This window comes from Homo sapiens, chromosome 6, assembly GCF_000001405.40.
Source record: "Homo sapiens chromosome 6, GRCh38.p14 Primary Assembly".
Taxonomy (NCBI): Eukaryota; Metazoa; Chordata; class Mammalia; order Primates; family Hominidae; genus Homo; species Homo sapiens.
The window spans coordinates 162,260,042-162,278,720 of NC_000006.12; the positions used below are offsets into that span (position 1 = coordinate 162,260,042).

General features: G+C 39.8%; 1 protein-coding gene across 6 annotated transcripts in view; it reads right to left on the reverse strand.

The window, feature by feature from the left end:
- PRKN (parkin RBR E3 ubiquitin protein ligase) overlaps positions 1 to 18,679 on the reverse strand; it is a 1,380,350-nt gene that overhangs the window by 912,625 nt on the left and 449,046 nt on the right. For 5 of the 6 annotated variants that reach the window (XM_024446449.2, XM_011535863.2, NM_013987.3 and 2 more), the window contains one exon: positions 2,484 to 2,724. The exons of the other annotated variant lie outside the window; for it this stretch is intronic. In XM_024446449.2, the coding sequence (XP_024302217.1) occupies positions 2,484 to 2,658 (175 nt within the window). In that variant the 5' untranslated portion in view covers positions 2,659 to 2,724. The remainder of the gene's footprint in view (positions 1 to 2,483; positions 2,725 to 18,679) is intronic. 6 annotated transcript variants of the gene reach the window in all.

An 18,679-nucleotide genomic window follows, 5' to 3' on the forward strand; every position in this document is an offset into this window, starting at 1 on the left:
ACAGATGCAACATATCTTTACAGAGGCCTTTTAGTAGCAGCATGTAGGGTGCCAGGAAGTTGCCCCCAGTGTGTAGTGGTGCAGGGAGAAGTGTTAGGATGGCAACCCTGCAGCCCCCAACTGCACCATGTAGAGTTGCCTGAGCCAGTCCCTAGCCTGCCAAAAGCACAAGGCTGGCAGGCCACAAGACAGAGGGGTAAATGAGAAACAGGGTGATCAGAGGTTAGATGTGACTCAGACATGAGTGGAAAGTCAAGGTGAAACAGCGCATCATCATAGATCATACAGTACTCTGAAGGCTGCTGTCATTTACCACATTCCATAAATTTACTAGAATTTATTCTCTATTGTTTGGGTTGAAATAATCACACATTTCAATTTAAAAATATAAAGAGAATATTAGACATTTAGCAGAATTTTCTCAGTGCCTACTGGTACTTCAGACCCTATATAGAGAGAATACTATATTTTCTTAAAATATTATGGTCTAGAGAGAGAGAGAGAGTCAGTTGAAAGTGTCAATAATTCTAAGTTCATTCTCATAAAAGAAAATTCTGGAGAAGACCAAGGGCAATTTTATGATAAAACAAAATAAGAAGACTAAAATTTTCAGATGAATATGGTTGATAAGAGAGTAGAGCCAGATGCACTAGGAAATGTATTAAAGAACATGAATATGTACACAACAGGATTCTTGTGCTCAAATTGTTTTTAATATTCAGATAATAAGTAAAGGTTTAATTTTGCTCTAAACAATGTGATTTTTTTATTTTTAGTAAGAATTTTATTTTGGGAAATCAAATTAAAGAACTAGTAGATAGGTCTCCTAACATAATAAATCCAATCTGTTATACAGTTGTACAGGAACAAACATAGTAAATATAGGGTTTGGTACCATTTTTGGTTTCAGGCGTACACTGGGGGATTTGAAACGTATTGCCTGTTGATGGGGAGGGACAACTGTACATGTGAGACACCCAGAAAAAATGCATAAATCTCAAAGAGGTGCCTAAAATTCAGGCTTGAATACCATCTTCAATGGCAAAGGAAGAAAGGGAGAGGAGAAGACAAGAGTAAGGTTTGTTAGGCAGATTATTCAGTTGGTGCCTTCTCAAGGATCAGAGTCTCCAGAGACTCTGTCCTCCTCATCCTAGTAAGGAGAGGGAGACACCCTTACAAATGGAGACTTCCTTGGTAGATATAAATTTCCCTTACAAAAGGGTCACTTCTACTCTGTTTTTAGAGCTTTTCCTGTGTCTACTGTTTCTCAAAATAATCAGCTTAAAATAATACTTATGCTAAAGTGGCATATTTTGGGGTGGCATATTCTGGTCTCATACACACTCAAGGTGGAATTTTCCATTGTTTGGTTTATAATGTTGGAGCATGAGTATTCTCTAGAGGTGTCAGTGTCAGAATGATCTTATACATACTCTGGTTGAAACGTCAGAATTGTTATGGGCTTGGGTTCGATATTTATATTAATATATTATTCTGGTCACAAGAGTATTGCAGGGGTTTAGATTTATCTCATTTTTCCCCATTTTTGACATTTATTTCCATTTCTCAATTTTTCTTTCCAGACCTGAGGTGCCCAGCTCACATGAAGCAGAGCCTCTTTCCCTCCCACAATCATCTCAAGATCACCAGAGCATCAGTTAATGCCTTACTTTCTGGGCTTATCTACTCCTGTATTTAAAGATGTTGTTTCTACATTTTCACTTGTCCTTGGAAATTATCTTTTTTTATTTTTTGCAAGATCATCGAAAATTTTTAAGTTCCTTAAATTTTATTTAGTAAGTTTAGTAGGAGGCATTTCTTATTATGTTAGGCTTCCATCTTGCAGGCCCCAGAACTTTCTGACACTGTGAAGGCCATACCAGCCCACAACTGCCAGGATCTATTGTATGTGGGAGGAAAATCAACTTCTACCCTGTAAAGTCATTGTGATTATTTTGTGTCTTCTGTCAAACACAGTAAAAATTAATTCTATTACACCTTTGACTATTTAGATTAGAGAATAAAAGACTAAGAGGCACATATTAATTTTTTTAAAATAACTAAACAATAACAATCTTTGCCAAAGAAAAGCATTTTGAAATGGGTGGTAGCATAGAGAGAAGGAAGAGTCCTTTCACACTAAGGATGTCATTGCCATTGGCATATCTGGCTTTAGAAACTACAAATGGCTCGATTAGCTTTAGAGTTCTTTCTGCTTTTTAGAATTTTTCTACATCACTAGAAACATATCTCTTATATTTAATCTCAATATGAAAACCTGTTTCATAGTACTTACAATAAATGCATTCTCAAATGTTACATCAAAGTACTCCACCTACAGTGATGTCTCCTTGTAGTGAATTAGAGACTCCAATCCAAAACGTATCATAAACTAAATATGCACCCGGTGAGGCCATGCTCCATGCAGACTGCACTAAACAAACAAACAAAATGCTTTAATAATCTTAGAGCATTCCAATTACCTGGACTTCCAGCTGGTGGTGAGTCCTTCCTGCTGTCAGTGTGCAGAATGACAGCCAGCCCCACAGAGTCTCCTGGGAGGACTGAGCTGCTGAGGTCCACCCGAGTCAAGCTCTGGGGCTCCCGCTCACAGCCTCCCGCCGCGTTTCTGGGGTCGTCGCCTCCAGTTGCATTCATTTCTTGACCTTTTCTCCACGGTCTCTGCACAATGTGAACAATGCTCTGCTGATCCAGGTCACAATTCTGTTTGGGAGCAAGGTAAAAAAAAAAAAAAAAAAAAAGGAAATGTCAAACATGAAATGCGAGATAGAGTTTAACTTGCCCTCCGTGGTAGAAGGGAAGCAAAAGTGACATGTAACTGACCAACTTAGGTGCTCCTTTGCCCACAGCAGTTACACACTACACACGGTAGACAAACAACACTGAACTGGGGCCAGAAACAGAAATTTGGGAATACGTGAAACACAATAGAATGCTGACGTCATATTCAAAAGGACATAAAATCTAGCAGGAAAAAATAATTACCAAACTGGATCTATAAGCACAGTGAAAACAATAATTCCTTTTTTCCCCCCAAGACAGAGTCTCACTCTGTCATCCAGGCTGGAGTGCAGTGGTGTGATTTCCGCTCATTGCAACCTCTGCCTGCCGGGTTCAAGCAATTCTCCTGCCTCAGCCTCCCGAGTAGCTGGGATTATAGGCGGGCACCACCACACCTGGCTACGAAAAATATTCTTAAATAGTAAAACTGATTGACATCAGAATTGATATGTCATTCATCTCTGTTTTACAAAAGTACAGAAAGTGAGTTATTATCAATGAGAGGGCATTTCTTTAAAGCATCGGAAATGAATGCGTTTGAGTAGGCTCCACACACACCGCTCCACGGGCACCAACACACACATCATTACACTGGTGGGGAAGCAAGACAGGAGCACACTCTTGCCACCCAGGGTTCATTCTCTTTCTGACGATTTAACCATGAAAACCAGCTAACATTTACGAAAAGGTTTTGCATCTACATATTGACACGTAGGAACAGAAGACTTTAACATTTTGTAGCATAAAAATTAAAAGTCAGATTATTTGCTAGCACAAGAACTAGGCTACCCTAAATGGAATTCTAGTTTCAGAATATCTACTACATAGGGCCGGCCGCGGTGGCTCAGGCCTCTAATCCCAGCACTTTGAGAGGCCTAGGTGGGTGGATAGCCTGAGGTCAGGAGTTCGAGAAGAGCCTGACCAACATGGCAAAACCCCATCTCAACTGAAAATACAAAAATTAGCTGGGCGTGTTAGCGTGCGCCTGTAATCCCAGCTACTCGGGAGGCTGAGGCAGGAGGATCACTTGAACGCCACCCCCACCCCCCCAACCAAAAAATAATATCTACTACATAGAAGCAGTTACTCATATGCTTGCTACCCTCTTAAGACACAGCAAGGACCTTACTCTCTCAGTAAATCGATGTGGCCGGCCGCAGTGGCTCACACCTGTAATCCCAGCACTTTGGGAGGCCAAGGCGGGCGGATCACTTGAGGCCAGTAGTTTGTGACCAGCCAGGGCAAAATGGTGAAACCCCATCTCTACTAAAAATACAAAAAAAATTAGCCGGCTTTGGTGGCATGTACCTGTAATCCCAGCTACTTGGGAGGCTGAAACAAGATAATTGCTTGAACCTGGGAGGCGAAGGTTGGAGTGAGCCAAGATCATGCCACTGCACTCCAGCCTGGGCAACAGAGAGAGAGACTCTGTCTCAAAAAATAAAATTAAATTAAATTAAATACAAATAAACCAATGCCTTTCAAATACCTCTTGCCATTGTCATTTTAGGAATGCTCCAAGAACACTCAAGTGAAATGCATCCATAACTCATAGCGATGAATGATGCCCTTCCCTGCTGCTTTCTCAAGCTCTTCTGTTGCCCTCACCATCAATGTCCCTCGAACAGTGGTGCCCAGCACTCACCAACACCCCTGACCCCAAATACAATGGCTAGAATCTGCCTCCTCCACCCAGGAGGGCACCAGGACACCCTTCGTCCTTAAATCCCATTCCAACCTCTTCTCTACTCTTACACCCTGGGGCTCCGTCTCATCCCCAGGCCCTGTGCCCCTCCCCATTCTCAGAGCTCCCAGTCTCTCCCTAGGACTGCTCCTACTCAGCAGAGGCCACTGTGCATCATTCTCTGACCTGAAGTGCTCCCCTGCATGACTTCCCAGTTTCTGTCAAAGGAAAAACCATCCCCCACATCACCCGCTTCGAGCCTTCCCCTCCCACCTAAAAATCTCATTATCCTCCCATGTTTTGTAACGGGCTGCAAGAGAATCACTATCTTGAATTCCTCCTACCTAATCTTTGACATCGGCAAGGCACCAACAGTTAGCAATTCTGTCTCAGAATTACCCTTCACATCTTCAACTCTTTTACATCTCAATAGTCACCTCCCCGTTTTAGGCCTTCCTCATGATAATAGCTTTGTAATTACTCCCCACATCTGATATCGCCATACTCCAGTCCAATACATACAAGAATTCTGGGTGTGTGCTACATAATCTTTCTAAAGTGTCTCAGTATTACTTGTAAAATGGACTGTAACATCTCCCATGTTCTTCAAGTGTGTTTGTACTTTTTTCCTTTCTAAATCATGATCTAGATTTGATTTTTCATCTTCCTTACCCCTCCTATATGATACATGTGGCAGATTAAACTATTCTTCAAAATCATGCACGCCTGTACATTAGTGCGCATACATCATGCTCCCCACTTCCTCCCTGCAATCTGTGTCCAGCCACATGAATGGCTTTGGCCAAAGGGATGTTAGCAGATGTGGTTGAACCAGGGCCTTATATTTGTCCCGCTGCTAAGGTCCATCAAAAGAACATCCCTGCCAGGCACAGTAGCTCACCCCTATAATCCAAGCACTTTGGGAGACTGGGGTGGGCGGATCACTTGAGGTCAGGAGTTCAAGGCCAGCCTGGCCAACACGGTGAAACCCCGTCTGTACTAAAAAGATAAAAATTAGCCGGGCATGGTGGTGCGTGCCTGTAATCCCAGCTACTCAAGAGGCTGAGGCAGGAGAATCACTTAAACCCAGGAGGCGAAGGTTGCAGTGACCTGAGATCTCACCACTGCACTGCACTGCACAGAGCAAGACTCCGTTGCAAAAAACAGAACTTCCCAGAAAGCTTCTACCTGTTCACACATGGCCCAGACCTGAGTCCAACCCACTGAGGTGACCAAGTGCAGCCACACTCACAGCATGAAGCAGGGACCCGCAGCTGAAGCCAGCCTGAGGCCGCGGGCACCCTCGCTGACCTGTAGGCACATGAGAAGATGGCATACTTTTATGGCACTGAGATTTCTGCTTGTCCTCTAATCAATAATGGCAGACAGTCCTCTATTTTCCATTCTATTTGGACAAGCTATCACTGTCCATGATCAGCTCCGTGTCAGGCAGCACTCCTCCAGCTGTGCACAGCCTCTAGCCTAAGTCGTTTCAGAGAAATGGGCATCAGGATCCGAGTATACTCAAGGACTTGCACAGGAGCATGTGAGCTTTGCCACAGAAGGAAAAGTGGAGAATTAGCACCCTAGCCTATCTTGAGGTTTCTATCCACATTTTTTCCCTACCTTTCCATGTTCAGGACTCAGTTACTTCCTGTGATCCTCCTAGAGAAAAGTAACACCTTTCTCCCTCATCTGAATCTAAAAATCTTTGCTTACTGTGCTCTTCTTATTGCAGTGGTTAGAGCTTGGACAGTATATACATATATATTGTGTGTGTGTGTGTGTGTGTGTGTGTGTGTGTGTGTCTGTGTCTGAGTCTTATCTTCCAACTTATTTTAGAAATACTTGAGAGCAGCAACTTGGCCATAGTAGCATTCATCAGAACACCTCACACAGTGCTTTGGAGCCAGGAGATGTAGAAACATATCTATGAATTCTAAAAGTTTGAAAAAGTGAATGACTGAAGGGAAGTAAGAAAGAATGAAGGAGTGAATGAATCAATGAATATAAACAGTCATAAGCTCAGTGCCCAAAGTGCCACAGAGGGAACCAGCAGAACAAGAAAGAAAGGACACAGAATTTAAAGTCAAACGGACTCAAGCTCTACATAATTTATTAGCTGTATGAATTTTGGCAAATGATTCTTCCTTTCCCAGCTTTCTGCCATTGACAATAATATATCAACTTTGAAGGCTGTTTTGAAGATTTAAGGAAATGTAAAGAGCTCAGATCCCGATCCGCAATGATACATCGTTGGTAGTATTGTTACCATTTATGAGTTTCAGAAAACTAAAGAGGATGGGTCCCTAATCTTGTACATGAATAAGGTGTCAGAATTCTGTTTAGCTGCACACTTCTGTTTGGAAAATATACAGAGAAGGCAGAATAAGCAGAAGCTATCAATGTGACAATCTCTCTGGTAGCATTCCAACTTTCTGTGAACTAAAAATCGATACAAAAAAATAATTCCTATATCACCATATAGCCAGATGCCATGAAACACGTGAAGAACCTGAGTGAATTTTCAGGGACAGGTAAAATGTGACAAATGTTGATGAAATCTAAAAGATTTCAAATCCAGATTTTCCTAATGCTCAGGGTACAGCTGCAAAGGGGAAAAGAAAGTTCTCAAACAGATTTCAGTAGTTACAGTGATACTTATAGGACGCATTTCCCTCAGTTGGCATCCCTGTTTCTGAAATCATTAATTGCTTAATCTTTGACTCTTACAGAAAATCTTCTTGGTTCCAGAAGCGGTGCCTTTGACAGACAGTGGACTCACACACCACACTGGTTCAGTTCAAAGCCACATTCCATGGACAGTACATTGGATACAGTCCAGTTGTACAGCCACGCAAAAGCCCCAAATACTACTTAGTTCTCCTAGTATACAAAAAAATTCCTCAGATGTGGGAAGAAAGAGATTTTCGGTGGGAAGACATCAGAGTGCTCCAATATGGTTTCAGGCTACCTTAGAGCAGAAACAATGTCTTATTTATCTTTGTTTCTCCAATAAATAAAATATTACCTGTCAAAGAGAAAACCCTTAATACAATTCTTTCTTTTTTTATAACAATATATTAATCCAACAAGTAAGGCAGTAACAAATTCTTCAGTGTAGACAAACCAAGTAGGTATTTCTGTAACCGGGTTTGGTCTTACACTGTCAAGCACAGCTGATGACCCATGGGAGACTGAGGGATCAGTATCTTGGGCTTTCTGTCTATAGGATCCTTGACATGGAAACATACCAGTATTAACAAAACATCCATGGGAGTTTTTTTTGCCAAACAATGATCAACTCTCATCTGGTTGGACATTATCCAATAATATACAAAAAACTGATGTATTTTTCTTTTTCCAAAAAGAAGTTCCTTCAACGGCACATAGTTAAGATCCAAATATTTCAGATTCTTCCAAGCACTTAATAAAGAGTTACAAATATCATCTCTAAAATGATTAATAATGAGATTCTAAAATTGTTAACAATACCACATTATTAATACATTGTTTTCAGGAGTTATGAAAATAGTTATGTTAATAATAAAAAACATATAGAATATACTTAGCCGTATATTGCAGACCATTACAGGTTTTGAGACATAATAAATTATTTATTATTCTCACACTCTGATGAGGGAATAACTATCACCATCTGCTATGTCTCAATGTGTCCTCAAAATTTATTTGTTTCAACTTAACCATCAATGTGATTGCATGAAGAGGTGGAGCCTCTAGAAGGTGATTAAATCATGATGGGGCAGAGCCTTCATGAATGGGATTAGTGCCCTTATAAGGCAGTGCAAGTGACTTTCTGTCCTTTTTGCCCTTTTAGCTCTTCCCCTCTTCCAGCAAGTGAAGACACAACAAGAAGGCCCTCACCAGACACTGAATACCAACACCTTGACCTTGGATTTCCCAGCTTTCAGAATTTTATAAATTGCCCAGTCTCAGGTATTTTGTTATAGCAAGACAAAGAATACAAGACAACATACATAAAGTTAGTGTGTAAACAGAGCTAGAAATAGTGTGTAAATCCAAGAGAACTGTGCCTGGCACAGATAATGCTGTTTTACAGATTACTTATTGTGGTTGCTGTTGATTCCACTTTATAGAAGACAAAGGGGAGCCACAGAGAAGTTCACGATGGGTTCAACAACACCCAGCTCCCGAGTGTGAAGCCAGGGTAGGAACCCAGGCCATCGACTCCTCTGCTGGTGTTCATTGACTCTGCTGAGAGGAAGTGGAGACTTGGATGAGGCAGACAAACTAGGACAAGTCTACAGGGGCCCATGGTGAAGACCAGGGTTTGGATGCTGCAACGGAACCACCCCAGGTACGAAGGAATGATTCAGAGAAGAGCCAGATAGCTGAAATGTTAAAAACATGAGAAGACAGGATCTGGGACGGGGCTGTATAGGAGGTAGCAAAGTAAAGATTAGTCCAGTGTGATTTTAAAGAGGAAACAAAACAAAACAAACAAAAAGGATGAAAGTAAGAACAAGTGGGTTGCAGAGGAATCAGTGAGAGTATGGAAAGTGAAAAGAAGATGGTATAGGTGAGCTGGTAACACACCTCGCAGACTCCGGATGCTGGTGCTGGCTCAAGGTAAAGTCTGTACCTCTGGAGATCCCGTCACCCCAGGGAAGACTGCACTTATCACGTCGTATTGTAGTTTCTTTGTATGCGTTGCTCTCTGTTACCAGACAATACCGTCTTTAAGAAAAAATACTGCAACTGTGTCTGTAGTACCTACTGTAGGGACCTGTTCATAAAACACACTCCCCTGTGTCTACTGAATGACTCTATGATCCTTTAAGCACATACCTAGAAGTGAGGAAACATTCCAGATGGCGTTAGTAACTTACCCAAGTCAAGTCTGATGCATAATTGGGAAATGAAAGAGCCAGGCCTGCAGCCTCAGTTTTCTGGCTCTGAGCCCAATGCTCTATTTCAAACATCCCACCTTGGATTGTCCACCTCTCTGTGCTCACGACATAAGTAGACATGTTGGCAGAAGTGCCCAGCCAGTGTGCTTTTATCAGCATACTGATCAGTCTATACTCATTGGCATACTTACTGTACCACTGTCTATGGTCTGTAAAGTAGGTAGGGCTGTCTTCAATATCTTCAGTATCATTCATTCATTTTCAGTTCCTTCTAAATCTGTTAAACTCTATTTCCTCATACAAAATGCTTAAAATCATTTCAGTGTATGGCCAACAAACATATGAAATAATGTTTAATATCACTAGTGATCAGGGAAAGGCAAGTCGAAACCACAATGCGATACCATCTTACTCCTGCAAGAGTGGCCATAATAAAAAAATCGAAAACAGTAGATGTTGGTGTGGATGCGGTGATCAGGGAACACTTCTACACTGCTGGTGGGAATGTAAACCAGTACAGCCACTACAGAAAATAGTGTGGAGATTCCTTAGAGAATCTAAAAGCAGAACTACCATTTGATCCAGAAATCCCACTACTGGGTATCTACCCAGAGGAAAAGAAGTCATTATACAGAAAAGATACTTGCACACGCAAGTTTATAGCAGCACAATTCACAATTGCAAAATCGTGGAACCAACCCACATGTCCACCAATCAATGAGTGGATAAAGAAATCGTGGTATATGATGGAATACTGCTCAGCCATAAAAAGGAATGAATTAATGGCATTCACAGCAATCTGGATGGGATTGGAGACTATTATTCTAAGTGAAGTAACTCAGGGATGGAAAACCAAACATTGTATGTTCTTACTGATAGATGAGAGCTAAGCTATGAGGACACAAAGACATAAGCATGATACAATGGACTTCAGGGACGTAGGGGAAAGGGTGGGAGGGGAGTGAGGGATAAAATACAACATATATGGTGCAGTAGGTACTGCTTGAGTGTTGGGTGCACCAGGATCTCACAAATCACCACTAACTAACTTACGTAAACAAATACCATCTGTACCCCAATAACTTATGGGAAAAAAATCATTTCAGTGGAAGGCTGTCAAACTTTCTAATGTGTAATAACTTTACATTTTAAAGACTGAACATTTCTGATTTTTATTTGGATTTTTAATAGACTACATTTTCTATCTAGAAAAGGAATACAATCAGCCAAGAATGATCAGACTAATTTAAAAATCAATAGTGTTAACAGATTCTAATGTTAAAACATTTTTACATTGAGTTCTTTCTTAAATAACTTTGAAGACACACTTTTAATAACACCTTAAATTGTCCTTTTTTGTGCTGAACAATCTTGGCATTCTTTCTATTTTTTGCTTCTTCTGAAAATAACTTCTAACAAACAGATTTTTTTTTTTTTAAGGCAGGGTCTCACTCTGTTACAGCCCAGGCTGGAGTGCAGTGGCATGATCAAGGCTCGCTGCTGCCTCGAACTCCCAGACTCAAGTGATCCTCTTATGGCAGCCTCCTGAGTTGCTGAGACTACAGGCACACGCCACTACACCTAGCTAATTTTCTAGTTTTTTTTTTTTTTTTTTTTTGTAGAGATGGGATCTCACTTATGCTGCCCAGGCTGGTCTCAAATTCTCAAATTCCTGGGCATAAATGATTCTCCTGCCTTGGACTCCCAAACACTGGGATTCCAGGCCTGAGCCACTGCACCTGGCTTTAAGCAGATGTGGTTGGAAGCCCATCACAGTTTTTAATAACGTATTTTCTATGCCAAGAAAAGACAAAACGGCAATGATTTAATAAGTTAGGCCGAATGCAGTGGCTCACGTCTGTAATCCCAGCACTTTGGGAGGTCAAGGAGGGCAGATCACTTGAGGTCAGGAGTTTGAGACCAGCCTGGCCAATGTAGTGAAACCCGTGTCTACTAAAAATACATTAAAAAAAATTAGCCAGACGTGGTGGCACAAGCCTGTAATCCTGGCTACTTGAGAGGCTGAGGCAGGAGAATCTCTCGAACCTGGGATGTGGACGTTGCAGTGAACCAAGATCGCACCAGTCCACTCCAGCCTGGGTGACAGAGCGAGACTCCGTCTCAAAAAAAAAAAAAAAGGTGTTATTTAAAGGTGTTTTTTAATGTAATGGCTAAGAACTATTTTGTTTGGTCACTGCTAACAATGAAATGTGTTTCAAGACAAGATGAGCCAGAGATGTTCACAGTAAGTCAGAATAATCAAAAAGGGAATTGTTCCCAGTGATATTTTTTCACTTGAACTCCAGTTCCCCTCCATAGTTTTCAATGAACACTAAATGCCAATTTATATTAATTGGATGAGAACAGAAACTATCCTTTCAAACTGATCCTTCATTTAAAAAAAGGGGGACTTCTAAAAGATGAATATTTGTGATTTAGCCTTTCAATTTATTTCACATTTCTTATGACTGATTTTCATTATGATCAAAAATATTATGCTGTGTAAAGATACTGAAAGGCCCCTTCTCTGGTTCCCAAAGGCAGGCAATACAATTACTGTGAAAGGTCAATTAGCCCCACACTAATTAGCCAGTGCAGGCCTGGGCCTTGTCACCTCCATGTCCCTCCCACCACAGGCCTGAGACCTTTCTGCTGCTCATGAGGATCCTACACCAGAGGGGCTCCATAGGGGGCGGGAGGGGGGACCGCTCAGGAATCACTCGGTTTGGCTACATGCCAGCAACTGCAGTAAGTGATTTAGTTTTGAAGAGCAGAGGACAGTGCTGTTTGAGCATGTAGGGTCGGGATTTCACTTCTCTGGGTTCCCTCTTTCATGAATACAAAGGATATCGGATCACCAAAGCTATGCCCATTAAACCCACTTTAAAATTGTGTTTTATATTGTCAACATTGCAAGAAATGCCTCAAGTATCACTTCTTTTTTCTTTAAGTATTATTTTATTACTAGTTGTGATAAATATTATGAACACTTTAAAATATATATATTTTATTTGACAGAATTAAATTAATGTTTTTAAAGCCATGGAATACGCTGTATAGAATTACTGGGGTCAGGGTTTGAGAGCTTAACAACACACGCTCTTGATGAAGCTGACCCGGAAACTCAGGCACGTCGGGGAGGTCAGCACTACCCAACAGAACCACATGCGAGTTTATGCCACGCTTCCCAAATTCCAATGGTTGCGATTAACACTCAAAATCATATACCTCCGCGATTGCAAAACAACATCTGCGCAAGGTGTTTACTGTGGGATTATTTATAATAGAAAATTATGGGCTGGGTGCGGTGGCTCATGCTTGTAATCCCAGCACTTTGGGAGGCTGAGGTGGGCAGATCACCCGAGGTCAGGGGTTCAAGACCAGCCTGGCACACGTGGCAAAACCTGGTCTCTACTAAAAATACAAAAATTAGCCGGGTGTGGTTGTGCGTGCCTGTAATCCCAGCTACAGGCTGGGAGGCTGAGGCAGGATACTCGTTTGAGCCGGGAGGCGGAGGTTGCAGTGAGCCTAGATCGGGCCACTGCACTCCAGCCTGGGTGACAGAGTAAGCCTGTGTCTGAAAAAAAAAAAAAAAAAAAAGGAAAAAAAATTTTCAGAAACAAGTGAAATGCTTGACCATAGAAGACAAGTACAATCTGTGAAGAAAAAAGAAAACAAAGCAGAAAATAGAATATAGTAAGGGACTTTCTATGTCAAAAGCAAAGAAAATTAAGTACATACAAAAGTAGCTGTTTTTGTAAAAGGAAACGTAGAAAGGAAAATCGAAGTTAGTGAAAATGGTTACCTATGAGGGAGTAGGGAAATGGGTTAAAGGGATCGAATGGGAGCCATGTTTCCCTAACGTGACTATCTACAGTTTCAGGTGTGAGGCACAGAAAATGTTTCACAAAATCACAACAATACTTACTAAATAAAAAGGAGAAAAAAAGCAAACTCTAAAACTGAAAATTACCAGAAACATATTGAGCTGACAATGTCAGTACATAAATAAAAGTAGTTCAAGTAACTTTTGGACACAGTGCTCTGTATATCCTTTAGTACAAAAAAAGGAACCCAAAAGAAATTTTGTACTTTATTTACTAAGTTGATTACTGGTATGATATAGGTGTAGGAATTCAGAAACTATTTGTATTTATGTTAAGATGAAAAATTACTAAACTTACTGATGTTTTTGGAAACCGAGTTTTTCACAGTGGCTGAAGAAGGTGAGAAGGAGCTTCATGATGTTGGAGTTGAAATAAAGGAAACAAAATGTACTTATGAATTTTTAAAAAATCCAATTCATTGAGGGGAAATTACTCACCTATCCAGAAGTTGCAGAATAATGAGACCCATGTATATCTATTCATCACCTTATTCAACAATTATCAACTTGAGTCCAACCTTGTTTTATCAGTATGAATTATCATGGATAAATGATATTATCAATATCACTACCCACTTTCCCTTCCTATATTATTTTGAGGCAAATCTCAGATATCATATTATTTACTCAACAAAAATGATCCATATGTATCTCTACGAAGGAGGAATTTTCCTATAAAACCTAACTAGAATACCATTAGAGGAACTGAAAAATTACAAATAAGCATTTAATGGCATCAAATATTTATGTGTCCATAATTTTAATTTTTTCCAAATCTGTTTGAATCGAGATCCAAACAAGTCCATATTTTGGGACTGGAAGGAATGTATATTATATCTTCTTGTAATTTAATTAATTAATTTATTAATTTATTAATGTATTTATTTATTTATTTATTTTGTGAGACCAGGTCTCCCTCTGTCACTCAGGCTGGAGTGCAGGCATGATCAGGGCTCATTGCAGTCTCGGCTTCCAGGGCTCAGGGGATTCCTAACCTCAGCCTCCCCAGTAGCTGGGACAACTGGAATGTGCCACTACATCCAGCTAATTTTTTGTATATGCCATACAGACAGGGTTTTGCCATGTTGACCAGGCTGGTCTCAAACTTCTAGGCTCAAGTGATCTGCCTGCCTCAGCCTTCCAAAGTGTTGGGATTACAGGCCTGAGCTACTGTGCCTGGCGTTCAATGTTTTTTTATTAAGACATAACTAATATATTGTAGTTCTCCCTTTTAAAGTGTATAATTCAGCAGTGTTTAGAATATTTGCAAGGTTGTGCAGCCATCAACACTCTCTAATTTCACAACATTTTCTCTTCAGTTGCTTTTACAAGTTCCCTCACCCATCTCTCTTCCTGTTTTTACAATTAAATTTGAAGAAAAATGGGTTAATCCATTGTAGAATTTCTCATAATCTAAATTTTGCCAGTTGCATATGGGTGGTATTACTGAACAAGTTTCTTCATTGTCCTTATTATAGAAAATTTTATATTTGTGGCCAGGCACAGTGGCTCACGCCTGTAATCCCAGCGCTTTGGGAGGCCGAGGCAGGCGGATCACAAGGTCAGGAGATCGAGACCATCCTGGCTAACATGGTGAAACCCCGTCTCTACTAAAAATACAAAAAATTAGCCGGGTGTGGTGGCAGGTGCCTGTAGTCCCAGCTACTCGGGAGGCTGAGGCAAGAGAATGGTGTGAACCTGGGAGGTGGAGCTTGCAGTGAGTGGAGATTGCACCACTGCACTCCAGTCTGGGCGACAGAGCAAGACTCTGTCTCAAAAAAAAAAAAAAAAAAAAAAGTTATATTTGATTCTACAGGCTTGACTAGGTTTAGGCTTAATATGTTTTGCTGGGATTCCTGTAAGGGTGCTGCTTTGTTCTTCAAGAAGGAAGCACTATGTGACTATGCCTGAGTCTGACTACATTTGGCTGTAGTGTATCTTCTTTATGGAAGATACGCTAAAATTGTAAAATGGTGATCTTTTAATATTATCACTTCTTCTCAAACTATTAGATAACATATTTCTATCAAGATAAATTTTCCCTCAATAGCTATTTTGTTACTCAGAGATAAATTTTGTATAGGAAGGCAGAATAAATGCTCTATTATTTTCTTGGTTTATACATTTTCAAAATAAGTTGACTCTAGCAATGAATAAAAATGCAATTTTTAAAAGCATTATTAAAAAATTATAGAAAAGGCCGGGTGCGAGGCTCATGCCTGTAATCCCAGCACTTTGAGAGGCCAAAGCAGGTGGATCACTTGAGATAAGGAGTTTGAGACCCACCTGGCCAACATGGTGAAACCCTGTCTCTACTAAAAATACAAAAATTAGCCAGGCGTGGTGGCGGATGCCTGCAATCCCAGCTACTTGGGAGGCTGAGGCAGGAGAATTGCTTGAACCTGGGAAGCAGAGGTTGCAGTGAACCAAGACCACACAATCGCACTCCTGCCTGGGTAACAAGAGTGAAAATCCGTCTCAAAAAAAAAAAACGAAATTACAGACACACACATATTAATGATGTCCATCGATTGTACTTATTATTTTGATTGGTGGTTATCTATAGCTAATTGGCACATCTTAGAATGGGATCCTGAACTGTGGCAGAGGCGCAAGAGTCTTTGGTAGCTTCCCTGCCATCCTGTATGACAAGAGACTCCAGTCTGCTTTGAACACTTTTTGTTCTAGACCTGTAATAAATCATTTTGACAAATAAAAATGGCATTTAAAGATGACGATGTGGATGGTTAGAGATACTCATTGCTAGTGGATTCATAAACGTCTGTCAGCTTTTTCAGTGACAAGAGGTATGTTTTGTTCGTTTTTTAAAGATAAAATACATCACGAGTTCAATCTGATATTTCCCATTCAAACCGAGGAGTAGAGGGTTTTAAATAATCTCCTTCGTCTTCCATCTTAATCTTCTTTTCTCTTGTTCAAAATCGTGAAAATGAAATGATTAGATGTCACATAATTACTCATTATTTTAGACTACATTATATACACAATGTGAATGATACCATTAAATTGATTACTAATCATAGTTTAAGTTTTTCTGCTTGTAGTTCTTTTTGTCTTGGGATGTACCTCATTAAAGATGTATAGTCAAACTGCTGTATTCTAAAGTCACTTGGAATAATGTGGCTATGATTACAACTAAAGATACTTGCATTCATTTTTTTGACTTTATTTTTTATTCTTAGAACTTTCTATTTAAAATATTTAATTCTGTTTTATAATTATGGAAAATATTTTCAAGTTTCTAAAGTCAAACTTTAAAAACATAAAATTGTCAAAGATGTCTCACTTCTACTTTTGTCTGTTTAATATATTCACTATCTTTTTGTTTGTTTTTAGATTTCTGCTTTACCTCTAACAGAAGCTGGTGTGTGTGTGTGTGTCTGTGTGTGTGTGTGTGTGTGTATTTAAGCACCTCTCTTAGATAATTGATAGCATGTTATATACTTTTTTCGCTTAATTTCCCCTACAATTAATTCTACAGTAGTATATACACATTTCCTTATTATTTTTCACAACCATACAGTAACCTCACGTGTGGATAAATCATAGTTTATTCAACCAATACCCTATGTTCTATGACAAATGAGGTCCCACTGGCCAAGTTTGGGAAAATATAAATACAAAAAAGAATAGATTGATAACAGGTTATAATACATTAAAGAAAAAATCCATGAATATATGATAATATTAAAAAGTATACGTGTGAGGAGTAAGAAAGAGTTCTTCCATACAGAACAACAGAATAAATATGGCAAGAACTGTCGGCACAGACAATCATATTTTTGAAGGCACTGATATAATAATTAATTCACTCAAGGATCACCAGTAGAAGCTACAGCAAATGGATCCAAGATTGGTGGGAATCGGGATTTTGGCAGTTTCCAAGTATCTGCCCACAGATTCCCTAATAATTTCAAAAGAGGAGGGTTATTTCTGCAATGGGAGATTCGGCAGGCATCACTGTAACTAAGATTCACACGGGCATTGTCAGTTACAAAGGATTCAGCATTAACGACAACAAAGTTTAACCCAAATTTAGCAATGAGGAGACAATAAAACAAATCGAGGTTGCAGGATAATTCTGCAAACAACTGACCCTTACAATTCAAATTTTTGAAGGTGCAAATTAGGTGTGTGTGAGAAGACTGTTCTATACTAAAGCAAAATAAAGATACATGATAACTGAATGTGATCTGTATATTTGACTAAACTTTTGGTCAGAATAATTTAAAAAAATTATCCAAAGCATACAAACAACCTTTAAAACTCATCAGTAAATAAATAAACAAACATTAAAAAAGGGCCAAAGGCTTTAACAGATACCTCACCAAAGAAGATACAGAGATGGCAAAGAAGTAGGCTCCACATCTTATGTCCTCAGGGAGCAGCAAATTAACGCAAGATACCACTACACACCAATTAGAATAAATCCCAGAACAAAGGCAACACCAAATACTGGTGAGGACGTGGAATAACAGAACTCTCGTTCATTGCTACTGGGAATGCAAAACGGTATAGTCACTTTGGAAATCTGGTGGTTTCTTACAAAACTAAACATACTATAACCACACAATGCAGCAATACCTGGAGTATTTACCCAAAGGAGTTGAAAACTAAAATCATGTCCACACAAAAGCCTGCACACAGATGTTTACAGCAGCTTTATTCAGGATTGCCAAAATTCAATGCAACCAACATGTTCTTCATCAGGTGAATGGATAAAGTATCAGACATACAGATCATGGAAAATTATTGAGCACTAAAGAGAAATGAAGTATCAAGCCAGGAAATGACATGGAGGAACCTTAAGTGCATATTACCAAGTGAAAGAACCAATTTGAAAAGGCTACATCTTGTATGATTCCAATTTGAAAAGGCCACATGTTGTATTATACGACATTCGGAAAAAGGCAACACTATAGAGACATTGAAAATATCAGTAGTTGCCAGGGACTGAGGGATGACGGAGGGATGAATAGAGACAGCACAGAGAATATTTAAGGCAGTGAAAATACTCAGGGTGATACTATGTTGATGGATAAATATCATTATACATTTGTCCAGACCCACAGAGTGTACACCAAGAGTGTACCCTCATGTAAGCTATAAATGTGAAGTGATTACAATGTGTCAATTTAGGTTTATCAGCTGCAAAAAATGTACCGCTCTGGTGGGGGATGTTGATAATGGAGAGGGTATGGGCACATTTGGGCAGGGAGTAGATGGGAAATACCTTCCTCTCTATGATGTGAACCTAAAACTGCTAAAAAATAAATAAATAAAGGCTTAAAAAAGCTATAAAGGACAATTTGGGAACAATTGGGAGGATCTTTGAATATGGACTACAAAAGAAATATCATTGTATCGATGTTAAATTCCTTGAAATTTACATCA